At 44.6% G+C, this 26,935-nt stretch overlaps 2 protein-coding genes and 1 long non-coding RNA gene across 7 annotated transcripts in view, besides 5 other annotated features; 1 reads left to right on the plus strand and 2 right to left on the minus strand.

The window, feature by feature from the left end:
* CHMP3 (charged multivesicular body protein 3) overlaps positions 1-19,029 on the minus strand; it is a 60,014-nt gene extending 40,985 nt beyond the window's left edge. For all 4 annotated transcript variants that reach the window (NR_036454.2, NM_001005753.3, NM_001193517.2 and 1 more), the window contains exon 1: positions 18,890-19,029. Coding sequence is in view for 2 of the 4 variants with exons in the window: in NM_001193517.2 (NP_001180446.1) it covers positions 18,890-18,934 (45 nt within the window). In the remaining 2 variants the exon portion in view is untranslated. The remainder of the gene's footprint in view (positions 1-18,889) is intronic.
* RNF103-CHMP3 (RNF103-CHMP3 readthrough) overlaps positions 1-26,935 on the minus strand; it is a 217,693-nt gene that overhangs the window by 40,985 nt on the left and 149,773 nt on the right. The window lies entirely within an intron of this gene.
* Positions 8,305-8,474: an enhancer, noted in NCBI's record as "experimental_59439 CRE fragment used in MPRA reporter constructs". NCBI's record gives its function as "activates a minimal promoter by MPRAs in K562 erythroleukemia cells, with activity observed for the non-introgressed 2:86779927 variant allele {active_cell/tissue: K562}" and the evidence as "EXISTENCE:reporter gene assay evidence [ECO:0000049][PMID:34662402]".
* Positions 17,656-26,935, plus strand: part of CHMP3-AS1 (CHMP3 and RNF103 antisense RNA 1) — a 55,380-nt gene continuing 46,100 nt past the window's right edge. Inside the window, exons 1-5 of one of the 2 annotated variants that reach the window (NR_183901.1) lie at positions 17,656-17,833; positions 18,432-18,506; positions 18,854-18,985; positions 19,274-19,368; positions 19,563-19,726. This is a non-coding gene — a long non-coding RNA (CHMP3 and RNF103 antisense RNA 1). Of the gene's footprint in view, positions 17,834-18,289; positions 18,365-18,431; positions 18,507-18,853; positions 18,986-19,273; positions 19,369-19,562; positions 19,727-26,935 lie in introns of both variants that reach the window. The other variant, NR_183900.1, reaches the window with a different exon arrangement.
* Positions 18,455-18,624: an enhancer, noted in NCBI's record as "active region_16162". NCBI's record gives its function as "activates an Ori minimal core promoter by ATAC-STARR-seq in GM12878 lymphoblastoid cells {active_cell/tissue: GM12878}" and the evidence as "EXISTENCE:reporter gene assay evidence [ECO:0000049][PMID:35858748]".
* Positions 18,635-18,734: an enhancer, noted in NCBI's record as "active region_16163". NCBI's record gives its function as "activates an Ori minimal core promoter by ATAC-STARR-seq in GM12878 lymphoblastoid cells {active_cell/tissue: GM12878}" and the evidence as "EXISTENCE:reporter gene assay evidence [ECO:0000049][PMID:35858748]".
* Positions 18,892-19,186: an enhancer, noted in NCBI's record as "tiled region #1991; HepG2 Activating DNase matched - State 1:Tss, and K562 Activating DNase unmatched - State 1:Tss". NCBI's record gives its function as "activates a minimal TATA promoter and a strong SV40 promoter by Sharpr-MPRA in HepG2 and K562 cells {active_cell/tissue: HepG2 | K562}" and the evidence as "EXISTENCE:reporter gene assay evidence [ECO:0000049][PMID:27701403]".
* Positions 19,345-19,404: an enhancer, noted in NCBI's record as "active region_16164". NCBI's record gives its function as "activates an Ori minimal core promoter by ATAC-STARR-seq in GM12878 lymphoblastoid cells {active_cell/tissue: GM12878}" and the evidence as "EXISTENCE:reporter gene assay evidence [ECO:0000049][PMID:35858748]".

Genomic DNA, 26,935 nt, shown 5'->3' on the forward strand with positions numbered 1-26,935 from the left:
GATAATAGTGGAGAGAAGGTCAGCAGATAAACACGTGAACAAAGGTCTCTGGTTTTCCTAGGCAGAGGTCCCTGAGGCCTTCCGCAGTGTTTGTGTCCCTGGGTACTTGAGATTAGGGAGTGGTGATGACTCTTAACGAGCATGCTGCCTTCAAGCATCTGTTTAACAAAGCACATCTTGCACCACCCTTAATCCATTTAACCCTGAGTTGACACAGCACATGTTTCAGAGAGCACCGGGTTTGGGGTAAGGTTATAGATTAACAGCATCCCAAGGCAGAAGAATTTTTCTTAGTACAGAACAAAATGGAGTCTCCTATGTCTACTTCTTTCTACACAGACACAGTAACATCTGATCTCTCTTTTCCCCACATTTGCCCCTTTTCTTTTTGACAAAACTGCCATCGTCATCATGGCCCGTTCTTGATGGTTGCTGTCTCTTCGGAGCTGTTGGGTACACTTCCCAGACGGGGCGACCGGGCAGAGGCGCTCCTCACTTCCCAGACGGGGCAGCCGGGCAGAGACGCTCACTTCCTAGACGGGGCGGCCGGGCAGAGGCGCTCCTCACCTCCCAGACGAAGGGCGGCCGGGCAGAGGCGCTCCTCACCTCCCGGACGAAGGGCGGCCGGGCAGAGGCGCTCCTCACCTCCCGGACGAAGGGCGGCCGGGCAGAGGCGCTCCTCACCTCCCGGACGAAGGGCGGCCGGGCAGAGGCGCTCCTCACCTCCCGGACGAAGGGCGGCCGGGCAGAGGCGCTCCTCACCTCCCGGACGAAGGGCGGCCGGGCAGAGGCGCTCCTCACCTCCCGGACGAAGGGCGGCCGGGCAGAGGCGCTCCTCACCTCCCGGACGAAGGGCGGCCGGGCAGAGGCGCTCCTCACCTCCCGGACGAAGGGCGGCCGGGCAGAGGCGCTCCTCACCTCCCGGACGAAGGGCGGCCGGGCAGAGGCGCTCCTCACCTCCCGGACGGGGTGGCCGGGCAGAGGCGCTCCCCACTTCCCAGACGGGGTGGCCGGGCAGAGGCGCTCCTCACTCCCCACTTCCTGGACGGGGCGGCCGGGCAGAGGCGCTCCTCACATCCCAGATGGGGCGACTGCCGGGCAGAGGCGCTCCTCACTTCCCAGACGGGGCGACTGCCGGGCAGAGGCGCTCCTCACTTCCCAGACGGGGCGACTGCCGGGCAGAGGCGCTCCTCACTTCTCAGATGGGGTGGCCGGGCAGAGGCGCTCCTCAGTTCCCAGACGGGGTGGCCGGGCAGAGGCACTCCTCAGTTCCCAGATAGGGCGGCCAGGCAGAGGTGCTCCTCACATCCCAGATGGGGCGGCTGGGCAGAGGCGCTCCTCACTTCTCAGACGATGGGTGGCCGGGCAGAGGCGCTCCTCACCTCCCAGATGGGGTGGCCAGGCAGAGGCGCTCCTCACTTCCCAGACAGGGCGGCAGGGCAGAGGCGCTCCTCACTTCCCAGACAGGGCGGCCGGGCAGAGCGGCTCCTCACATCCCAGAGGATGGGCGGCCAGGCAGAGACACTCCTCACTTCCTAGACGGGGTGGTGGCTGGGCAGAGGCTGTAATCTTAGTACTTTGGGAGGCCAAGGCAGGCGGCTGGGAGGTGGAGGTTGTAGCGAGCTGAGATCACGCCACTGCACTCCAGCCTGGGCAACGTTGAGCATTGAGTGAGCGAGACTCCGTCTGCAATCCCAGCACCTCGGGAGGCCGAGGCAGGCAGATCACTCGAGGTCAGGAGCTGGAGACCAGCCCGGTCAACACAGTGAAACCCCGTCGTCTCCACCAGAAATACAAAAACCAGTCAGGTGTGGCGGTGCGTGCCTGCAATCCTAGGCACTCGGCAGGCCGGAGGCAGGAGAATCATGGGAGCCCAAGGCAGGGAGGTTGCAGCGAGCTGAGATCACGGCAGTACAGTCCAGCCTCGGCAACAGAGGGAGACCCGAAGGGAGGGGAAGGGGGGGAGGGGGAGGGGGAGTAGGAGAGCTTGATTTACATTTTCTTAATGCCCAGTGAAGTTGGACTTTTTTTTTTTTTTTTGAGACGGACTTTCGCTCTTGTTGGCCAGGCTGGAGTACAGTGGCGCAATCTCAGCTCACTGCAACCTCCACCTCCAGCGTTTAAGTGATTCTCCTGCCTCAGCCTCCCAAGTAGCTGGGATTACAGGCGCTCACCACCACACCTGGCTAATTTTTGCATTTTCAGTAGAGACGGGATTTCACCACGTTGGCCAGGCTTGTCTACACCTCCTGACCTCAGGTAATCCACCTGCCTCAGCCTCCCAAAGTGCTGGGATTAAAGGTGTGAGCCACTGCACCCAGCCGAAGTTGGACATCTTTTCATGTGCTTGTTGGTCATTTGTATATCTCCTCTGGAGAATTGTTTATTCATATCTTCTGCCCATTTTTTAATTGAGTTGTCTGTTTGTTGGGTTGTATGAGTTCTTTTTACCTTCTGATAGTAGTAGACCCTTTACTGATATGGGATTTGCAAATATTTTCTCCCATTCAAGAAAGTCTTCTTTCTCAATAATGTCCTTTGAAACACAAGTTTTTAATTTTGAAAAAGTCCAGTTTATCTAAAGAATGTGTTTTCTGAACTTCTTCTTAAAGTCTCAGCTTAAATGTTACTTCAGGGAGACATTCCCTGACTCACAGAATAGGTTCAACCCTCCAGGCAGTACAACTGCACAGAACCCTATACCCCCACCTCTTTTGGAGAGCTCATTATACTTATGATTACTTACAAATATAGACTATAAGCTCCAGAAAGTCAAAGACCTTCTCTTATTCACCAAGCCCTTGCATAATGCCTGGCACAAAGGATAATAAATATCTGTTGAATTTGATTGCACGGAATACAAGATGTGATGGGACAAAAAATTTCAGCCATAAATAACACTTATGTAACAATCTTCAGAAACTTTCTATGTATGTTTTTAAATGTCAAAGAGTAAAAGTTTCATAAAATCTGTCAAAAAGAGAAATTCCTTCTAAACTTGTAAAATCAAAAGGGGCTTTGCAAAAAAGAAAAACTTACCTAAGAGAAATCTGAAGAACCAAAAGTATCCAGTCATGTCTCCGACCAGTGCTTCTCAACCTGAACTACACAAAAGTCAACTGGGAAACTTTAAAAATACTAATTTAACTGGGCCAGAGGTAGAGCCCAAATGACAGGTAGCATTTAAAATCTCTTCAGGTGACTATAATGTTATGTTAGAGTTAAGAAACACAGTCTAAGACAAAGAGCTCAAGAAAATGTATCAAGCAAGTCTCATAACTGTAAAGACTACTACAATAAAAGGAAATTTAAAACAGATGTAAAGAAAATTTGACAAATATTTATTTAGTGCCAATAGGATTTCAGTAGTAAATGAGGCCCTTATAATTAAGTAAAACAGAACATAACGTGTACAGAATAAAAAATCAACTAGTAAATTAGACAATATATTTGAAAACCACAAGGAACCTATAGAAAGAGTTTCACACTACCAAAATATTATCCTTTATTCAAATTCATTCACAGAGGTCTATTATATGCGAAACTAGGCAAAGGAAACTAACACCATTAAGAGGTTATTTTCCATGAACAATGCTGAGAGACAGCTTAAGACAAATAGAAAACAAAATGATTGAATTCCTGTTCCATCCTTCACTGAAATTCATTCTAGGTGGACTGAAGACATATGGAATGCAAAACTGTGGTGTTTTAAGAAGACAGTATAGGAGAATACATTTATGATTTCAGGTTAGAGGAGGAGTTCTCTTTTTTTTTTTTTTTTTTTTTAGTATTTATTGATCATTCTTGGGTGTTTCTCAAAGAGGGGGATGTGGCAGGGTCATAGGATAATAGTGGAGAGAAGGTCAGCAGATAAACACGTGAACAAAGGTCTCTGGTTTTCCTAGGCAGAGGTTCCTGCGGCCTTCCGCAGTATTTGTGTCCCTGGGTACGTGAGATTAGGGAGTGGAGATGACTCTTAATGAGCATGCTGCCTTCAAGCATCTGTTTAACAAAGCACATCTTGCACCACCCTTAATCCATTTAACCCTGAGTTGACACAGCACATGTTTCAGAGAGCACGGGGTTGGGGGTAAGGTTATAGATTAACAGCATCCCAAGGCAGAAGAATTTTTCTTAGTACAGAACAAAATGGTGTCTCCTATGTCTCCTTCTTTCTACACAGACACAGTAACCATCTGATCTGTCTTTCTTTTCCCCACATTTCCCCCTTTTCTTTTCAACAAAACCGCCATCGTCATCATGGCCTGTTCTCGATGGTCACTGTCTCTTCGGAGCTATTGGGTACACTTCCCAGATGGGGTGGCCGGGCAGAGGCACTCCTCACTTCCCAGACGGGGCAGCCGGGCAGAGGTGCTCCTCACCTCCCAGACGGGGCGGCCGGGCAGAGGCGCACCTCACTTCCCAGATGGGGTGGTGGCCGGGCAGAGGCGCTCCTCACATCCCAGACGATGGGCAGCCGGGCAGAGGTGCTCCCCACCTCCCAGATGATGGGCCGGGCAGAGGTGCTCCCCACCTCCCAGATGATGGGCAGCTGGGCAGAGGCGCTCCTAGCCTCCCAGATGGGGCGGCCAGGCAGAGGCGCTCCCCACCTCCCAGATGAAGGGCAGCCGGGCAGAGGCGCCCCCCACTTCCCAGACGGGGTGGCGGCCGGGCAGAGACGCCCCTCACCTCCCAGACGGGGCGGCCGGGAAGAGGCGCCCCTCACGTCCCAGACGGGGCGGCCGGGCAGAGGCGCCCACTTCCCAGACTGGGCAGCCGGGCAGAGGCGCTCCTCGCCTCCCAGACAGGGCGGCCGGGCAGAGGCGCTCCTCGCCTCCCAGACGGGGCGGCAGGGCAGAGGCGCTCCTCGCCTCCCAGACGGGGCGGCCGGGCAGAGGCATTTCTCACTTCCCAGATGATGGGCGGCCGGGCAGAGACGCTCCTCACTTCCCAGATGGGGTGGCGGCTGGGCAGAGGCACTCCTCCCTTCCCAGACGGGGCGGCCGGGCAGAGGCGCTCCTCAGTTCCCAGATGGGGTGGCCGGGCAGAGGCGCTCCTCACTTCCCAGACGGGGCGGCCGGGCAGAGGCGCTCCTCACTTCCCAGACAGGGCGGCCAGGCAGAGGCGCTCCTCACTTCCCAGATGGGGTTGCAGTCAGGCAGAGACGCCCCTCCCCTCCCAGAAGGGTCGGCCGGGAAGAGGCACTCCTCACCTCCCAGACGGGGCGGCCGGGCAGAGGCGCCCCTCACTTCCCAGATGGGGTGGCGGCCGGGCAGAGACGCCCCTCACCTCCCAGATGGGGCGGCCGGGCAGAGGCACCCACTTCGCAGACGGGGCGGCCAGGCAGAGGCGCTCCTCGCCTCCCAGACGGGGCGGCCGGGCAGAGGTGCTCCTCGCCTCCCAGGCGGGGTGGCCGGGAAGAGGCGCTCCTCGCCTCCCAGATGGGGCAGCCGGGCAGAGGCGCTCCTCGCCTCCCAGACGGGGCGGCCGGGCAGAGGCGCTTCTCACTTCCCAGACAATGGGCGGCTGGGCTGATACGCTCCTCACTTCCCAGACGGGGTGGCGGCCGGGCAGAGGCTGTAATCTTAGCACTTTGGGAGGCCAAGGCAGGTGGCTGGAAGGTGGAGGTTGCAGCGAGCTGAGATCACGCCACTGCACTCCAGCCTGGGCAACATTGAGCATTGAGTGAGTGAGACTCCGTCTGCAATCCCAGCACCCCGGGAGGCCACGACGGGCAGACCACTTGAGGTCAGGAGCCGGAGACCAGCCAGGTCAACAGGGCAAAACCCCGTCTCCTCCAAAAATGCAAAAACCAGTCAGGCGTGGCGGCGCACGCCCGCAATCCCAGGCACTTGGCAGGCCGAGGTAGGAGAACCACGGGAGCCCGGGGCAGGGAGGCTGCAGCGAGCCGAGACCACGGCAGTACAGTCCAGCCTCGGCAACAGAGGGAGACGGAGACGGAGAGGAGAGGGAGAGAGGGAGAGAGGGGGAGAGGGAGAAAGGGAGAGGGAGAAAGGGAGAGGGAGAAAGGGAGAGGGAGAGAGAGAGGGGAGTTCTTAAACAAGACACAAAGGCAATAACCACTAAAAGGAAAAGGCTTCTTATATTTATCTATATTGAAATTAAGAATTTTTATTCATCATGACTCCATTAAGAAAGTAAAATGTTACAAACTGGGAGATATATTCGTAATCATATAAATGGTAATAAATAAAAGGCATTTACTTATTTTTTAAGAATGGAATTCTCAATATTGTACAGTCAGCCCACTATATCCATGGGTTCTACATGTGTGGATTCAACCAACTACAGCTCAAAAATATTTAAAAAAACAAATGGTTGGCTGCATCTGTATGGAACATGTAGACTTTTCCCATCATTATTCCCTAAATACAGTGTAACAACTATTTACAGAGCATTTACATTGCATTAGGTATTATAAGTAATCTAGAGATTAAAGTACACAGGAGGATGTACATACGTTATATGCAATTACCTTTTTCTTTTTAAATCAAGTACTTCAGCATCCATGGATTTTGGTATGGGCGGAGGGACCCTGGAACCAATCCTCCTCAGATACCGAGAAATGACTACATATGAAAATCTGCAGGATAATTTAAGTTTCTGAATGATATTGTCTTCTTCCAAAGAGGAATTACATTTGCTTCTGGCAAACATATAGCTTAAGTGTCCTGGCAATTGGTTCTTAACTAATCTTAATTAATCCTATCAGGGGATAGAGATTATTTGAAACTGGTCTTCAGTCTTTGTGAAAGCCAGTCTACTTCCAGGTCACTATTATTGCTAAGGGGTATTCTTTCAGAGTCCCAACCACAAGCCCTGAATATCTGCTTATGAACTCCAATTTTTTTTTTTTTTTTGAGATGGAGTCTCTCTCTGTCACCCATCTCGGCTCACTGCAACCTCTGCCTCCCAGGTTCAAGCAATTCTCCTGCCTCAGCCTCCCAAGTAGCTGGGACTATAGATGCCTGCCACCACGCCCAGCTACTTTTTGTATTCTTAGTAGGCACGGGGTTTCACCATGTTGGCCAGGCTGGTCTCAAACAACTGACCTCAGGGGATCTGCCCACCTCGGCCTCCCAAAGTGCTGGGATTACAGGTGTGAGCCACCATGCCCGGCCATGAACTCCAATTTTTATACTCCCCAACCACAGGGTTTGTCAAAAACTCTACTCAAATTCTATTTGTCACCCACTGCATTAGGAATTAGAGGATCTCTTTAGGGGGAAGGTAGTCCCAAATGATTGGGTTCATGTAACTGAGCTTCCCTCTTTGCTGAGATCTTGATTTTGCAATTTCTCACTGCCCTGGTAGCTTTCAGTGATTTCAAATAGTTACACTTTTTGTTTAGCTCTTTTAGTTATTTTTGGCAAAGGGTTGGTTCAAAGCAACTTAGTCTATAAACACCTTCATGATTTTTTAAAGAACATGTTTCCCAGTTCTGTTCCATAAAAAGGCTTAGAAGCAGGGATACTCGAATAGCAAGAAGCATCAGGCTCACTCAAATTTTGGTATCTAAATAGCATTCCCGCTAAAAGAAACCACTGCATCTTGGAGAAATGGCCGATTTCAGGTCTCAGGCTAGGAATTCACAAATCATACCAGGATATATGCTAGAAAACAAGGAAGTATTCAAAGATTAGTAAAGTTATGCTAAAAGCAGATAGGAACTGGCTTGAAATAGCTCCCACTGACCAAATGTATAAGTTTTTCAGTATCAAACAGAATAATGGTTAGAACTATAACACACTAAATATATAAAAATCCATGAGTCCAAAACGGTGCTTCTGAGAGGAACGGGTGGAGAGAGAATGCAGTTGATACCACCGGATATTATTATACCAATTCTTTATTCTAAATATTAGCAATTAAATAAAGAGCATTAAGCACTTATCCTGCATTTTCAATAGAAACTCTATGTCAAGGTAACCAAATAGCCCCAGCTAATAAGGGACAGATCTTTATAGAACACTGCCAGCTAAAAATGAAAAAGAAATCAGAGAATTAGAAAAATCACCACTCTAAAAACCCTTATAGAATAGCTGATTCAGGAAAGGGACACCTATAAATGTTAATGTGTCTAAGTGAAGGATTACTGAAGAGCTGGACATTCACATGGTGCTAAAATATCACCCCTCAGGTTAGTTACTAGCATAAAAAGGAAAACATAATGTAAAGATCTGGTGTGTCACTACCTCAACCAGGTGGCCAAAGTTATTAGCATCATTAATTACAAGACAGACATTATATGCCTCCTGATGTGATACACTATGAATCACACAGGTTACCTGTGAGGCATTCTTGCTAAAATTGTTTAACCTGGATCTTATCAAACTTAGATCCAACTTCCATTTCATAGAAAACACAGGGGGTAGAGAAAAAAGCTAACCACAAAAGGAACAAGATCATGTCCTTTGTAGGGACATGGAAGGAGCTAGAAGCCATTATCCTCAGCAAACTAATGCAGGATCAGAAAACCAAACACTGCATGTTCTCGCTTATAAGTGGGAGTTGAATGATGAGAACACATGGGCACATGGAGGGCAACAACACACACTGGAGCCTGTCAGCCGGGGGTGGAGATCGGGTGGGGGCAGCTTGATGGGGGATGGTGGGGGAGGAACAGCATCAGGAAGAACAGCTAATGGATACTGGGCTTAATACCTAGGTGATGGGATGATGTGCGCGGCAAACCACCATGGCACATGTTTACCTATGTAACAAACCGGCACATCCTGCACATACACCCTTGAACTTAAAAGTTGGAGGAAAAAAAAAAAAAGCGATAACCACAAGACATAGACAAAACCATAACAAGGAACATTCTACAAAACAAATGCTCTATTTTACAAACGAGTCTTTATTCTTACAATGCTATAAGTAGAAAGCAGGGGATATTTATTTATTTATTTATTGAGATGGAGTCTTGCTCTGTCGCCAGCCTGGAGTGCAGTGGCACAATCTAGGCTCACTGCAACCTCCGACTCCCTGGTTAAAGCAATTCTCCTGCCTCAGCCTCCCGAGTAGCTGGGATTATAGGTGCACGCCACCACGCCCAGCTAATTTTTGTATTTTTAGTAGAGATGGGGTTTCGCCATGTTGGCCAGGATGATCTCAATCTCCCGACCTCATGTTCCACCCGCCTCGGCCTCCCAAAGTGCTGGAATTATAGGCGTGAGCCACCGCGCCCGACCCCAAACAGATTTTTAAATAAAATCAAGTAACAGCCAAACACAAACCTCGCTGAATCCTAAGTTTTAAAAAGTTATAAAAGACATACTGGGAACACCTGGGAAAATTTAAATATGGACTAGATATTCAATGATATGAAGGTATTTTTGTTATACAGAATTTCCATATATTCCAGAGATGCAATATGAAATGTTGCAAAATGTGTTATATTTATAATCTATTTCAAACTGACCGAGCTGAAAAATATATATCAAATAATAGCAAAGTGCTATCAACATTTGATTATACAGGTTTTCACTGTACGATCTGCTGTGGTATGAATGTTGGTGCATGTCCCCAAATTCGTATGTTGAAATCCTAATCCTCAAAGTGACAGTATCAGGAGGCGGTGCCTTTTGAGAGGTTATTAGGTCCCTTAGGAATGGAATTAATGCCCTTATAAAATAGGCCCAAGGTAGCTCTTTTGCCCCTTCAACCATGTGAGGACAGCAAGAAGGCACCATCTATGAACCAAAAAGCAGTGCCCTCACCAGACACTGTACCTGTCAGCGCCTTAATCACCGACTTCCTGGTCTCCATAACTGTAGAAAATAAATTTCTATTGTTTATAAATTACTCAGCTGGTAGTATTTTGTGATAGCAACTCAAATGTACTAACCACTGCTATTACTTCTACTTTTCTAAAAATTTAAAAATTTTCATAATAAAACTTTAAAATAAAGTAGTTGGCATTTCATAGGTGTTCTATTTCAAGAAGAAATTAAACTTGACAAAGTCTTTATGATAATATACACAATAATGAAATGACAAGTCACATAACTGGAGAAGATAAAGATGTTCAATCTCACTGATAATCAGGAAAAAGCCTGATATTCATTTCATTCCTCTAAGACTGGCAAAAGTCAAAAATTCAGTTAATAACAAGTGCTAGAGAAGAATATAAAGACAAGCAACTTTCATATATTGCTGATGAATGTACAAATCAGTTCAATCCCTTTAGAAACCAATTTGGCAGTATTTTTGTACAAAGAAGTCATATCCTAAGATCCAAAAATTTCCCTTGTACATAGCCTAAAGAAACTCTCTCACAAATACACAAGCATACAGGTATTAGAATGTTCATTGGATTGTTGTATTACACAAGGAAACAATCTAGAAGTCCATCAATAGAATAAATGTGTGTGCGCGCGTGTGTGTGTGTGTGTGTGTGTGTGTGTGTAGATTTTTTTTTTTTTTTTGAGATGGAGTCCCGCTCTGTCGCCCAGGCTAGAGTGCAGTGGGTGATCTCGGCTCACTGCGACCTCTGCCTCCTGTGTTCAAGCAATTCTCCTGCCTCAGCCTCCGGAGTAGCTGGGATTACAGGTGCCTGCCACCACAACCAGCTAATTTTTGTATTTTTTAGTAGAGACGGGGTTTCACTATGTTGGCCAGGCTGGTCTTGAACTCCTGACCTCAAGTGATCTGCTCGCCCCAGCCTCCCAAAGTGCTGGGATTACAGGCATGAGCCACCGCTCCCGGCCTTAGAACTAATATGTTGTCATAGATTTATACAATCAAACTCCATGAAGTTAAAATACATGAAATACATCTACATATATTGGTATGAATAAACTTCATTTTCAAAATATACAAACAATACTGAGCAGAAAGAAATCATACCAAATTTATGACAGTGACTGTCACTCTGTGTGCTGACGTAAGAAAATGCAATAAAGAGAGTAAGCATGTATATAAGTGTATTGTTTCCTGAGGCTGCCATAACAAAGTACTTAAAACATAAATGAGAATCAACTGAACCCAGGAGGTGGAGACTGCAGTGAGCCGAGATCGCACCACTGCACTCCAGCCTGGCGACAGAGCAAGACTCCATCTCAAAAAAAAAAATAAATAAATAAATAATAAATGTGCTGTTTCACAGTTCTAAAGCCAGAAATCTGAGTATCACTAAGCCAAAATCAAGGTAGCAGGAAGGCCATGCTTCCTCCAGTGGATCTAGGGAAGAATCCATTTCTTGCCTTCCAACTTTTAATGGCTACCAGCATTCCTTAGTTTGCAGTCTCACCATCCAATCTTCAAGGCCAGCATCTTCAGTGCTGTCTCTGCTCCATCCTCACATTGCCTTCTCTTCTTCTGTGTATGTCAAATCTCCCTCTAAATCCCTCTTATAAGGATACAGGTGATTGCATTTAGGAGCCACCTGAATAACTCCCCATCTCAAGAACCTTAATTTATTCATACCTGCAAGGACTCTTTTTCCAAATAAGGAACATAAATAGGTTCCAGGGATTAGGACCTGATCTCTTTGGGGGTGGGGAGCTTTTTCAGCCTACCACAATGGATATGTTATCCTCTGTTTTTTAACTTAAAATATTAAAGATTTTTTTACATATTTAAGAGCGAAATTAAAGGACTGGAAAAATATAACAAGCAAATCCTTAAAATACAGAAATACATAAAATCAATTTAAAGTAGGAAAATAACTACTGACTCCAGAAAACATTTTTAAGATAATTCCAGACTAGATAATACATTTTAATGGTACAAATTCAACAGCTATAGAAAGGCAAATAGTGAAAAGTTTCCCTCCCATTTTTGACCCTCAGCTACGTAGCTCCTCTCCTGGAGGCAATCTAGGATTTTGCATATCTTTCAAGACAATCTAAAATATACATAAAACTAGAAATCAGCCAAAAGCAACAAATACAAGTGACCTTAGATCAAAATCTGCCTATTCCTGTCACTGTCAGCTGAGTATATATCAGCTCAATCATGCTAGATTTCAAATGTCCAGGTGTTTTCTCTCACCATTGTAGGAGATCGGTCAGGGTGGTGGGAAAAATTGTAAAAAGATGCAAAGCTTCATGGAAGGTCGGGAGGTTTTTACAAAAGCTTCAGAAAAGGATTTGGCTGAAGGCAGCCAGATTCTCTTACCTGGGAGATGTAAGGGGATGTAAAGAAACTGATCTAGATAAGTTAGTTTACTTAGGCCTCGGAACCTGGCCTTTAATCATCCGCCAGCAGGACTGCTCTCTCGGGGAAGGCGGGGAGGGACCATGTTAATTACCCACAAGTGTGTTGACTCAAAGCCTTTGTCATTACATCTGTACTGAATAAATACTCGCAGCGCCGGCTTGTCAGGGCCGCGGTTGCTACAACACCCTCCTCGGGGTCTGTGAGCAGCCTGGTCCCCTAGCCCGCTTTTTCACTGGATACCTGTGTCTGAGTGTATTCTTTCATCCGTCGTTTGGCCAGGATCTGCGGGTCGGACCCGGAACACCATCCCTACTCCTGTCCATGAAACAAGTACCTGACGAGCTCTTTACACTTCCTGAGAAAGTTCAACATTATGCCAGCCCAGTGGATGATAGAGAATAAACAGAAACATAATCCTTGCTCTTAAGTTTACAATTTTGCTGAGGACACAAAGCAGAAGAGAAAAATATTCTTCCAGAATTTCCCTGTGTCTATCTTCTCTCATCTCTTAAATTCTGTCCAAAACTGAGCTCTGGCTCCTTCTCCTCCACTATCACCATTCCCAACAAACTTGCTCCTTTCCTGAATTCTCTCCATTTCAGCTCATGGCACTGCCATTCAGGGGGATGAACAGGTTTGACTGGGGTAGGGTTAAACAGAAACCTAAGAATCATCTTTGCACTCATCCCACATGCAGTAGTTCAGCAAATTCTGACTATCTATGCTAAATATTTCTAAAACTCATCCTATCCTCTCCATTCCCATTGCCATTCTAAGGCTCACATCATCTATCACCTGGGCCACTAACCGGCCTCCCTACCTAAATCTCTTCCTTCTAGTTCATGCCCTAACCCACTGTTCTGATTGCTCCCCATCTTTAGTAGGCATGACACACAGACCTTTATTAATCTGCCCTCTACCTACCTCTCCAATGTTACATCTTACCACTACCATCACTCCTCTTGCATTCCACTCAGAATAGCATTTCATCCTCCAACCATTCTGAATTTTTTCCCTAGTTCCTCTAACATATGTTCCACACTTCTAAACCCTGCATATTCAGTTCACTTTGCTAGGGATGCCTCCCCTTTCCTGATCCTATATCTACCGTCCACCTGGTGAATGCCACTTGTGACAAGACCGAGACCGTCCCTGACCAGCTTCCGTTCCCCATTCTGAATAATCACTCCCTCCACTATGGCATCAAAGACTTTGTATATACTTAAATTATTGCTCCTATCTCCCTACAGTGTTTATTTACATGTCAGTCTCCTCCAGTAAACTATATTCTTTGAAGTCATCTAGTGTCTTATTTTTGTAAGCCTTATTCCAATCCAACGCACACCAAAATCACTCGATATTTGTTGTATGAACTCCATCTCCCTTTCTCATTTTCTTCCCTTTTCTGATAGAATCCCACAACCATGAGTCATGACCCAGTCTAAGAACATAAGTCATATGATTTAAGAATTCTGATGCCATGGAAGGGGGCACTCTACCCCAAGACTAAATTAGTGAAGTCCCTAAGTAAGACAGAACAATTTTCCCAGCAGAACCTCAAGTCTAAGAGAAGAATCTCTTTCCAGCAGAATTCCATGTCCTCCTGATTCCCACCCCAAGACTGTTACAGGTTTCTAAATGGATTTTAAGGCATCCTCATCCTCAGCAGGCCCAGTCTGGTCTTTACTTGCATCCTTTAAAACAGAATAGATTCACCACTAAAATGTCTCCACCACAGTTTGTGCAGGGGCAAAGATTTTAGTCTGCAGAGGCTCCTAACATAGTTAATGTTTCCCTAGAGAGTTCCTTGAAACATTGCTCATCTTGGGACTACCTGACCTTAAACCCTACTAAACCTTATTCTGATACTCACTCATCATTTAACAAATATTTACTTAGCACCCACTGCACGCTGCATATTATATCAGAGCTCTGGAGATACCACCCATAATGTATCTTACTTGCCCGAATTGACCTGTCACCATGGCCTAAATGGTACCATGTGTGACAACCATGATGGTGTGATATGACTACACCTGGCCTCTGCTTATCCTGTGCCAGGACCCAGACCCACCTGCCTGCATCTTTCAGCCCCCAACAGAAGGAGCTGTCTTGTAAGTTTATCCCAACTCAAAAACTGCCCAGCTGAGACTACAGCATTTAGTCAATTCCCTCTCTCTCTAATGCCCCTTCCATTTCTGCCAACATTTTCTTATCTTTGAAAATTTCCTTCACTTGGCCTCTTAAGTATTTTCTTTCTCCCTTAAAAGAAAAAAAAAAAAAAAGCCAAACTAACATTACTTGGCTTCTTATTCATACACAGCTCTCAATACTTTATCAGTGCATCAGCAGTTCTACAGAGAAAAAAGTATTTCCCATCTGTGATGGTTAATTTTAGGTATCTCCTCAGCTGGGTTGAGGGATACCCAGATAGCTGGTAAAGCACTATTTCTGAATATGTCTATGAGGGTGTTTCTGGAAGAGATTGGCATTTCAATCAGTGAACTAAAGAAGATCAGCCCCCACCCAATGTAAGTGGGCACCATCCAATCAGTTGAGGGTCTGGACATAACAAAAAGGCAGAAGAAAGGCAAATTCTTGCTCTCTTCTGCATCTGGGATACCCGTCTCCTGCTCTTAGACATCAGAACTGTAGGTTCTCTACTCTCTGGACTCTGGGACTTCCATCAGTGCTACCCCAACTCACTAGGTTCTCCGGCCTTCAACCCTGGACTGAGCTACACCACTGGCTTCTCTGGGTCTCCAGCTTACAGACAGCATATGATAGTACTTCTCAGCCTTCATAATCCCCAGTCAATTTCCATATTAAATTCCCTCTCAACTACCTATCTATCCATCCATCCTATTGGTTCTACTTCTCTGGAAAACCCTGACTAATACACCATCCCTGCTTTATTGGCACCTTCTTGAATTACAGACTAATGCTAAGTAACCACAGCTGGTGACAAAACACTTTCTTTGTTCACAAGTCACAGGTGTGAGAGAAAGCCTGGCACTTGGTAGAAGCTGACCCTAAAGTGGATGGACATTCTTCTAACAAACTAAAACATATCAAAACTGAATGGGTACCTTGAAGAACTGAGGAGGAACTTGAAGAAAACCTTGGGCAGGGTATCTCCAGCACCAGATAAAGTGGATAATCTAACACTAAAAATCCTACTAAATAGTCAAGAACCCATTCATAGGCAGGAAGAGGATGGAACACATGACAGTGAAAGGTCAAACTGTTTCTGATCATCTCAGCCTGGAGATAATCACTCCAACCACTGAACTCCTATACCTGTGTATGTGGTACTGTATTAGTCGGTTCTTACATTGCTATAAAGAAATACCTGAGACTGCGTAATTCATAAAAAGAAAAGAGGGCCGGGCGCGGTGGCTTACACCTGTAATCCCAGACTTTCGGAGGCCAAGGCGGGCAGATCACGAGGTCAGGAGATCAAGACCATCCTGGCTAACACGGTGAAACTCTGTCTCTACTAAACACACAAAAAATTAGCCAGATGTGGTGGCACGGGCCTGTAGTCCCAGCTACTCAGGAGACTGAGGCAGGAGAATCCCTTGAACCCAGGAGGCGGAGGTTGCAGTGAGCTGAGATCGCGCCACTGCACTGCCTGGGCGACAGAGCGAGACTCCATCTCAAAAAAAAAAAATTATTGCAGCACTATTCACAATAGCAAAGACTTGGAACCAACCCAAATGTCCATCAATCATAGACTGGATTAAGAAAATGTGGCACCATGGAATACTATGAAGCCATAAAAAAGGATGAGTTCACGTCCTTTGCAGGGACATGGATGAAGCTGGAAACCATCATTCTCAGCAAACTATCACAAGATCAGAAAACCGAACACCGCATGTTCTCACTCATAAGTGGGAATTGAACAATGAGAACATATGGACACAGGGAGGGGATCATCACACACCGGGGCCTGTCAGGGGTTGGGGGTTGGGGAGGGATAACATTAGCAAAAATACCTAATGTAGGTGACCAGTTGATGGGTGCAGCAAACCACCACAGCACGTGTATATATGTAACAAAACTGCACGTTCTGCACATGTAACCCAGAACTTAAAGTATAATTTAAAAAAAAAAAAAAGAAAAGAGGTTTAACTGGCTCACAGTTCTGCAGACTGTACGGGAAGCACAGCAGCTTCTGCTTTTGGGGAGGCCTCAGGAAGCTTCCAATCATGGGGGAAGGCAAAGAAATAGGCATCTTACATGGCAGGAGCAAGAGAGAATGAGGGAGAAGGTGCTACACACTTTTAAACAACCAGATCTCATGAGAACTCACTATCTCAAGGACAGTACCAAAGGTGATAGTGCTAAACCACTCATGGGAAATCTGCTCCCATGATCCAATCACCTCATACTAGGTCCCACCTCCAACACTGGGGATGACAATTTGACATGAGATTTGGCGGGGACACAGATCCAAACCATATCAGGTGCCCTATCCAAACCAGCTCTTAAAATGTTTATCTTACTTGCTAGAAGTTAAGTTCTTTGGCTTCTTATTTCACCTTTATAATCCCTCTTTGGGAGGTAGTATAAATGGCATGATAATTCTAAGTATAGGCCTTAGAATACATAACCTCTGGTGCTGTAATTCACAAACTGTATGACCTTGGGCAAATTACCTAAATACTGTATGCCTCAGTTGCCACCTGTAAAGTGGAGACAATAACAGTTCCTACCTCATAACATTGCAGAGTGCTTAACACAATGCCTGGTTCAATATGTTAGCTAAAGGTGGTGGTAGTTAGGGCTAATCTTAATTCACTCTACAATCTTGCTACTCAAGTGTAGACCAGCAGCATCAACATCACCTGGGAGCTTATTAGAAATCTCAGACCCTATCCAAGACCTACTGAATCAGATTTTGAATTCTGACAAGATCCCTAATGATTAGTGTGCACACTAATGCTTGAGAAGCACTGCTCTACAATACCCAGACTTGTCCATAATGGGGGGAAAAACAACTAAAATTTTTTATTCAATAAATGATCTTACCTGTTCGGCTCTGGCAAGCATAGTTTTAAAAACCAATCTCATGCATCAACCCTGCCATTTTCCAGTGTCAATCAGCTTTCTCAGGTAGATTACCCTACTGAAGAGTGTACCAATATCGTGTTCTTAGCAATTTATCATTTAAAAACAATCTAAGTGTACAATATACTAGAGTAGTATAGTAGTACATATACTAGAGACTAGTTTAAACAATAAAGCAACCATTTCCCCAGCATCTTTTTTGCTTCTCCATAATCTTATCTCAATTTACGAATGGCAATGCCAAGGCCAAACACTGAAGACAACAAATAATCTCTCCCTACCACACTTCTACAATAACAAGAATCTTAGAATATACAGATGTCACAAAATGTGCATCTATATAATGTTCTATAGTTTCCAAAGTGATGTTATACCGTTATTTCATTTAAGCGCCACAATTTTTATTTTACCAAGGAGCAAAACTGAGTAAGTTTCCTGACGAAAATAATGAGTGTCTACTGTTCTAGGGCCTTTAACAACAACAACAACAAATTTACATTAACGCACATTATGTGCCAGGAATTGCAAGATGCATAAGATTAGTTTTTAAAATGTGCCTGCTAGAGCTGAACAGGTAAGATCATTTATTAAAGGATTTCAGGATTTTTTTTTTCCATTATGGACAAGCCTAGGTGTTGCAGAGCAGTGCTTCTCAAAGCACTGATGTGCACACTAATCATTAGGGAGCTTGTCAGAATTCAAAATCTGACTCAGTGGGTCTGGAGTGGTGTCCGAGATTTAACAAGCTCCCAGGTGATGTTGATGCTGCTGGTTGGCATTTGAGTAGCAAAGCTGTGCCGTATTTAAAGAATTAGCCCTAACTACCAATATGAAAACTTTACATCCCTGAATCTTCAATTACTCTGAGGTGACACTACTATTATTCTGGCTTCACAGTCGAGAAGGCACTGAGAAGTGAACTTTCCAGAGATCACAGAGCTGAGATGTGGGAAGGCAGGATTCAAACTTAGGTTGACTGACTGCAGGGCATTTTCAACTGTTTGCCTCCCAATATTATCTCAATTAATAGGTAACGAGAGTTCGAAGCCGGGTCCAGAGCTATCTTCTGTAACATTCTTCTGGGTCGAGTCCCTGCCCCGCTACGGTATGTGCCTAGGGTCAACACAAGGGCTGGGGAAAGAGGAAACTGAGCCTCTTTTTCAACACAACAGGGAGGACGGAGAACAGACGGCTCCTCCGGCAGACGCGACCCGGCCCGCTCCAAACAACGCTTCGGGCAGGAGAAGGTTCTCCGGGTGGTCCGCAGCCGGGCTGGAGGGGTGGGGCCTACGCTGGGAAAAGGTTCCGGGCGGGTCGTACCAACGCGCGCAGGGGGAAGAGGTTTCCGAGGCCAGGACGGTGTCGCTGCCTACGCGCTCAGTGGCGAGGTGGAGAAACTCTTCATCCACCCTCGGCTACCTGTTCGAGAGCCATGGCACCAGGAGCTCTCGCGTCCCACAGCCGACTCCTAAAGACTCTTCCTCCGGCCCCCCTGTCGAGTGGGAGTCCCCGGAAATGGGGGCCGGGCGGTATCGGGCAGGCGGTGGGGAGAAGAGTGTCCTGTCATTTACCAACTTCACTACGCCCCACACAGATCCACCCGCTTATCTGCCGCCGCCGTAGCCCTTACCAGTTCTTTGGGCGGCTTCTCCTGGGTCTTTCCAAACAGCCCCATGACGAACTGAACCCGTCTTGCCCCTTCCGGCTTTCAGTTCCCCGCGCCCAGGCAGGTCACGGGCAGCCGCCTGGGCGGGGCCCGCGGAAAAGGAGGTAGTCCCAACCCCCAGAGTAGGGAGCGGCGGCACTAGGGGATGTTGCGCATGCGCCATACGCCTGCGCAGAATCGAGTGAGTGGGAGACTAGTCAAAAAGGCTGACGTCATCGCACATGTTCTGGTCATGTCTGTGTGGGGGAGACCACGGATTCGGTGCTTTTCGTAAGGTGTAGAAATGATTGCTCTGAAAGATACGAATTTGTTGGCTACAACTGCTTCTAATACTTCACCTAAACCTAGATGTTGCACCAGAAGTCTGGATCTCCACGCAGACGTGTACACTTAGCATCACTTTCCCGACAGCTTCATCTTTGTGTCCAGTAGGCAACTCACAGGTGACAAACCAAAAATAACCTCTTTTTCCTCCCGCCAACCCACTCCTCCCCTCTGCTTGCACCACCATCACCTGGTCACTAAACCCTAGGCATCGTCCTCTCTCCCCTCTTACCAAGTCCCAACCATTCTAACTTCAATATGTCTGAACTTCAACCCTCCCCTTTCCATCCCAACTGCGGTCGTTTTTTTTCAGGCCATCGCCCTTTCCAGCGTGGGCGATTCCTGCCTAGCATTTGTCCATGTGTGTCCCGTCCTACACGCCACACTGACCGTGAGCTTAATCACACTCTCAAAGGAATCTGACTAAAGAGAACTAGACACATTTTAGCACGGACAGTTCCTGATTAGGCCTATACGGTGAGCTGATGGTTACTGTCATTAACTCATCCGAGGATGGTGAAGGGGACCATTTGTTACCTCAGCCCCATACTCCTGTCTCTGGTGGAATCATAAAATGGTTCGGCAGCTTTGAAAACATTTTGACAATTTCTTAAAATGCTAAACAAAGCCAGCCTTCCATTCCTAGCTATTTACCCAAGAGGGAAAAAAGCATATGTTCTTACAAAGACTTGTACACAAATGTTCATAGCAGCTCTATTTGTAATAGCCATAAACTGGAAACAATCCAAATGTCTATCAACAAGTGAATGGATAAACCAGTCGTGATTGATCCATACGAAGGAATAGTACTGAGCAATAAAAAAGTAAACTATTGATAAATGCAACAGCATGGATGAATCTCAAAATAATTCTGCCAAGTGAAAGAAGCCAGAACCGTATGATTCCATTTACATAACATTCTGGAAAATGCAAACTAATACATAGTGACAGAGAGTACATGGGCGGTTGCTAGCGGATAGGAGTGGGGTCAGAAAGAGGCAGAAAAGAGGGATTACAAAGAGACACGAAGTTTAGGGGGATGATGGATAATATCTTGATTGTGATGATGGTTTCACAGATGTATACAATATCAAAACTTACCAGGTTGGACACTAAGTATGTGCGATTTATTTTATGTCCAATCATACTTCAATAAAGTTGTTTTTAAAAAAGCACTGCCTGTTCATTGTGAAAAGTTAAACCCTCATTCTCACTTCCTCAGGGGAAAAGGTCTCAAAGGATTCACACCAACTATTAAATATAGTGTGAATCTTCTGAAACCTTTTCCTTTGGAAAATATACTTTTATTTTTATTTATGTATTTGTTTTTGAGACCGGGTATCACTTTGTCACCCAGGCTGGAGTGCAGTGGCAGGATCTTGCCTCACTGCAGCCTCTACCTCCCAGATTCAAGTGATCCTCCCACCTTAGCCTCCTGAGTAGCTGGGTGTCAGCCACCACGCCCACTGTGTTTTTAATTTTTCTGTAGAGACAAGGGTTAGCCATGTTGCCCAGGCGGGTCTCAAACTCCTGGGCTCAAGCGATCCTCCCACCTCAGCCTCTCAAAGTGTTGGGATTACAGGTGTTAGCCACCTTGCCCGGGCCTATTTTTACTTAGTTGAGATTATATTATATACATTGAGCCACCTCTCCCAGCCCTATTTTTATTTAATTGATATTATGTTATATACGTTGTCCTACAATTTCCTTTTAAACACATTTTATGTAGACTTTCATCAGTGTCAATACCTATGGCAGTCCATAGCAAGAATGTACCATAATTTATTTAACCATTTCCCTATTATATAAGATTGTTTCTAGTTTTTCCCTAGTAAATAATCCTGCAAATATAGGCACAGTTAAAAATTTTAAACTTAATACCAGTATCTTCCATATACATTGCACTATTGTGAACTCCTACCAATAGTGTATACCAGCACTCTTATTCCCTAAATCCATGCTAAAAGTGAATTTTAGCAATATTTAAAATTTTTGCCAATCTAAGGGCATAAAATATTGTTTTTAACTTTAATTTCCCGGACTATTAGTCTGGATAAGCATCTTTTCATATATTTGTTGGTCATTTGAATTTCTTCTGTGACTTGCTTCTTCATAACCCTTGTTCATTTTCCATTTATCTCCCTCCTTCCCTTCCTTATTTCCTTTCTTCCTTCCATTTTAAAGGTGAAGGAGTTCCTTGAAAATGTGGAATTTTTTTAAGTCTCTTTCACCTTTTTTTGAGAATAAACTATAAGCATTTTTTTCAAGTAGGAGGATACTGGATCGCCAATTAGTCAACAGTATTTCTCAAATGCCTACTATATGTCAGGCATTTTATAGGCTTCAGGAAAATGGCAGTGAGCAGAAAAAAATCTCCTACAATCTGATGAGAAGGACAATAGTATTAAACAATGGTTATAGACGAAATTGTATTACTACAAATGTGCAAAATTCTGACTATAAGAAGAAAGTGCTGATCAGTGACTCTTCCCTGAACAGATGACAAATAAGCTGAGACCTGAAGGATGAGCTAGCAGAGAGAGGAAGAGTATCCAGAGTAAAAGAAACAGCATGTGCCAAAGAGCCTTCCCTGTTTCTGGGTGGAGGATTTAGGCCACAGCCATTTCAGATCCTAAAGCTGCAGTTGTTCTAAAGCTGGCCATCAATGGCAGAGAGGCCTGGCAGGGTGTGGAGGAAGGTTTGACTTGGCACATGGCCTCTCAATGTCGTACAGAGCTCATAGGTACTGACAGAGCCCTATCAACACATCAGTGCAGTTCCTCTGCACCGTGCATCTTGCTTCCACACATTTTTTAGGCTCTATCTTTAGAGTAACGTGTACTCTCCATTTGTGTCCTGATACTGCTTTTGCATTGGACAGAGCACTCCTTAGTTGCGGCTGGGGCTCAAGTTCGTCCTTCCTACATGGACCTCAGGAAGCAAGCTACAGATCCTCCCACCTGCTAAGACTCACACATCTGAGTGGGTGGGAAGAACTAAGTGAGCAGGCATTCTAGCTCTTTACTCCTGCCAAACACAGCAAGTGTTTAACAGGATCACACTCCCCTGCCATATGTTCACATAGACGTTTGTTCACACACATTTTCAAAGGCTTTATGTGCATTCTCCTCCTGATCTCTGAAAAATATAAATAGATGTGTATCCTTGAGAGGTACTTCAATGCCTATGCTTTAAATCCTCCCCTGAATTTGAAATGAAAAACAGAAAGGACTGTTTTTCCTCCACCTTCCAGTTTTCCTTGCTCATTTCACTAAGATATCCAGTCTTAGGGAGCTTCCTGGCTCACAACTGTTCCCCATTTGCCAGGTAGATTGTTAAATGAAATGCTTTGGGCAAGAAAATCATAACCCAATTCCTGGCAAGACTTTTGGCTTTCTAAAGCCAAGATACACCTTGTTTTATACAACAGATGGACCCTGGAAATGTTAGATATAAATCAATGTTTGGAAACTGAACTCCCTCCCATGACTTATATAATAATTTTGGAGTGGATTTATCTTTATGACTAAACTTCAGGACCAAGGGTCTCCCAACCCACAACTTACGACTTGAGATAAGGCGAAGACAGACCTTGAGTCACCTCCTGTCCATTTCCAACCATTCTCCACCAAACTTACAATAATCCTTGTGTTGATTTCCTAGGACTGCCATAACAAAATGCCACAAACTGGGTGGCTTAAAACAATAGAAATGTATTCTTTCAAAGTTCTGGAGACTAGAAGTCCAAAATCAAGGTGTCAGCAGGGTCATGCTCCCTCTGACACTCTGAATAGAATTCTTACTTGCCTCTTCCTACCTTCTAGTGATGGCTGTCAATCATCAGCATTCCTTGGCTTGCTGCTGCATCGCTCCAATCTGCTATGAACATATAACCCGATTATATGTTCTCCCCATATGTCTCACTCCAGTCATATTGGATTAAGGGCCAATCCTAAATTCAGTATGACCTTATCCCAACTTACTGTTTACATCTGCGGTTATTATACCTTATTTTCAAATAAGGGTCATATTATGAGGTACTAGGGGTTAGGACTTCAACATAATCTTAACAGGTCACAATTCAATCTATTAACAACCCTTATAGACACATATGGGTGCCTCACCTTAAAGAAAAAAGAGTGTGGCCAGGCATGGTGGCTCACACCTGTAATCCCAGCACTTTGGGAGCCCGAGGCCAGCAGATCCTGAGGTCAGGACTTCGAGACCAGCCTGACCAATATGGTGAAACCCCGTCTCTACTAAAAATACAAAAATTAGCCAGGTGTGGTGGCACGCGCCTGTAGTTCCAGCTACTCCAGAGGCTGAGGCAGAAGAATTGCTTGAACCTGGGAGGCGAAGGGTGCAGTGAGCCGAGATTGTGCCATTGCACTTTGGCCGGGAGACAGAGTGAGACTCCATCTCAAAAAAAAAAAAAAAAAAAAAGAAAGAAAGAAAGAAAAGAAAAAAGAGGATGATAGAGGGTGAGGGGAGAATGGTTAGCTGAATCCTTCTAAAATAAACAGACCTCTATCCTCCATGATCAGGAAGGGAAAGTAGAGCTCTCAGGCTTGACCCTAGCTTGGAAGTGGCACCTTCCCCCCGGGAATCATAAAAATCACTGTGGCTGCCTCACATTGCCCTGTAGAGCACGATTTTTACCACTAAAGGTCCTCTCATGGAGGATTCACACACCTTTCCTTATTTCCCTGCAGCAGAGAAAAAGCCTGAAAAATCCAACTGGAATATTTAAACAATACTAAAGTCTCCAAAAACAGTATCAGAATTAGAAGAGTGGCATGTGACTTACACATTCAACATTATGGTAGAGTGGATGAAAAACCCACTACAAACACAGAATTTTGGTAAAATATAACCAGAATTATTTTATGTGCATGGATGATCTCTTTTTAAAAAGTAAGAGAAATCAGGAATGTCTGCCAATAACAGGAACCCAGAACCTGTTTGCATAATTTTTTTGATGTGATAAAGCCTATAGTAAGTAAAATGCACAGATCTTAAGTGTAAAACATGATTAATTTTTACAAATGTGTGTAAAAGCGCTATGTAAATATTTAAAACGTGTTCTAAATCTAAACTGGCTCCTTCATGCCCATTCTCAGGCAGTACCCTCAAAAGATAACCATTATTCTGATTTCTACCTCTGTAGATTAGTGTTGCCTGGGTGCGGTGGCTCATGCCTGTAATCCCAGCACTTTGGGAGGCCCAGGCGGGCGGACCATGAGGTCAGGAGATCGAGACTATCCTGGCCAACACGGTGAAACCCCATCTCTACTAAAAATACAAAAAAAAAAAAAAATTAGCTGGGCATGGTGGCGGGCGCCTGTAGTCCCAGCTACTTGGGAGGCTGAGGCAGGAGAATAGCGTGAACCCAGGAGGCGGAGCTTGCAGTGAGCCGAGATCATGCCATTGCACTCCAGCCTGGGCGACAGAGCGAAACTCCGTCTCAAAAAAAAAAAAAAAAGAAATAAATAAAATAGTGCTTGGTTTTAACGTTTGGGCAGGGGAACAAGAGGCAAGGCTTTTGGCTGGGCAAAATGGTGAAGCAAAATTGAGATGCCCTAAAGCTGGGAGCTTTAAAGACCTCATTCTCAGTGAAAAGACAGGCTAGGGAAAAAAAAAAAAAAAAAAAAAAAAATATATATATATATATATATATATCTGCCAACAAAGGGAGCCAACCAGAAAATGTTTGTTTTAGGCTGTAGCTCTGGTGAAAAAATAAAAATAGAGGTTTCCTTGAGAAACCACAATCATAAGGCTGCCCTCCTATAAGTCTAAATTTAGTCTACTTTCATGGTATTGGAAATCCCAAGCCTAGATATTAATTTAAACTGTTCTTAGGTTGATAACATCCTGGGGATCTGACGAAAGCAGTACAGACTCTTTTTGAATGAACATACTCCAAATCCAGACACTGTAGTATTTCTACAAATTATGGCCAACAAAAATTACCAAATATATGAGACAAACATTAATGGCCAGGAGTAAATTTTAAAAGCATCACATTTATGTTTCAAAGCACTTCAGATACTAGAATTCTCAAATGTAGAGTATAAAATGTTATGCTTAAAATGTTCACAGAAATAAAAGAGAGACTTGGAAGAAACAAGAGACCATTAAAAAATGACCAAGTAAAAGAAAGAAAGAAAAAAAAAAAACAAACAAAAATTGACCAGGTAAAATTAAAAATAAAAGAATTTCTAGACATGAAAAATGTAGTAATTGAAATAAGAAACATAGTCACTAAATAAACCTCAAGGACTAAGTTAAGCAACAGATTACACATAAGAAAGAACAAGTAAATCAGAAGATAGATTTGAATTATCCAAAATAATAACGCCTGAAGATACAAAGACATGAATATATAAGAAAGAAGATGAGATACAGATGTTAGAATATGGATATCAATTACATTAATTGAAGTTCCAGAAAGATTGACATGAGAAACTGGAAGAGACAAGATTTTGAAAAGATAATGGCTAAGAATTTCCCCAGATTTATTAAGATGTTAATCTTGAAGATTCAGGAAGTAGTCATGCATCACTTAATGACGGGGATACATTCTGAGAAATGCATTGTTACGTGATTTCATCATTGTGCAAACATCATAGAGTGTACTTACGCAAATCTAGATGGTATAGCCTACTAGATACCTAGGCTATATAAACTATTGCTACTAAGCTAAAAACATATATGGCATGTTACTATACTGAATACTGTTGGCAGTTGTAACACAATGGTAAGTATTTGTGTATCTAAACATAGAAAAGATACAGGAACAATATATATGATATTATAATCTTGTGGAACCACTGTTGCCTGAAAGGTTGTCATACAATGCATAACTGTACATAAATCTTAGGCAGATTAAATACAAACAGCTACACGTTATAGTGGCAGTGCAGAACATCGAAGACACCAAGATTTTAAAAGCAACCAGAGGCTGGGCCCAGTGGCTCACGCCTGTAATCTGAGCACTTTGGGAGGCCGAGGTGGGCAGATCATGAGATCAGGAGATCGAAACCATCTTGGATAACATGGTGAAAACCCATCTCTACTAAAAATACAAAAACAAAATTAGCCGGGCGTGGTGGTGGGCACCTGTAGTCCCAGCTACTTGGAAGACTGAAGCGGGAGAATGGCGTGAACCCGGGAGGCGGAGCTTGCAGTGAGCCAAGATCGTGCCACTGCACTCCAGCCTGGGCGACAAAGCGAGACTCTGTCTCAAAAAAAAAAAAAAAAAAAAAAAAAAAAAAAACAGAGAGAAAAGATAGAATACATACAAGAAGACAACACACACTGTCAACATCCTACTCAACAGCAACAATGGAAGCTAAAAGAAAGTGAAAGAACGTCTTCAAATACTGAGGGGAAAAAAAATCCCCAAAGATCTAAAAATCAAAACAATTGAACTCATGGAGATCAAGAGCAGAAGGATGGTGACCAGAGGCTGGGAAAAGTAGTGAGGGGTTTGGGGAAGGTGGGGATGGTTAATGGGTACAAAAAAAATTCTAAAGAATGAATAAGACCAAGTATTTGATAGCACAACAGGGTGACTACAGTCAGTAGTAATTTAATTGTACATTTAAAAACAACTAAGAGAGTATAATTGGATTGTTTCTAACACAAAGGATAAATGCTTGAGGGGATGGGTACGCCATTTTC

Source organism: Homo sapiens, chromosome 2, assembly GCF_000001405.40.
Source record: "Homo sapiens chromosome 2, GRCh38.p14 Primary Assembly".
Classification (NCBI taxonomy): domain Eukaryota; kingdom Metazoa; phylum Chordata; class Mammalia; order Primates; family Hominidae; genus Homo; species Homo sapiens.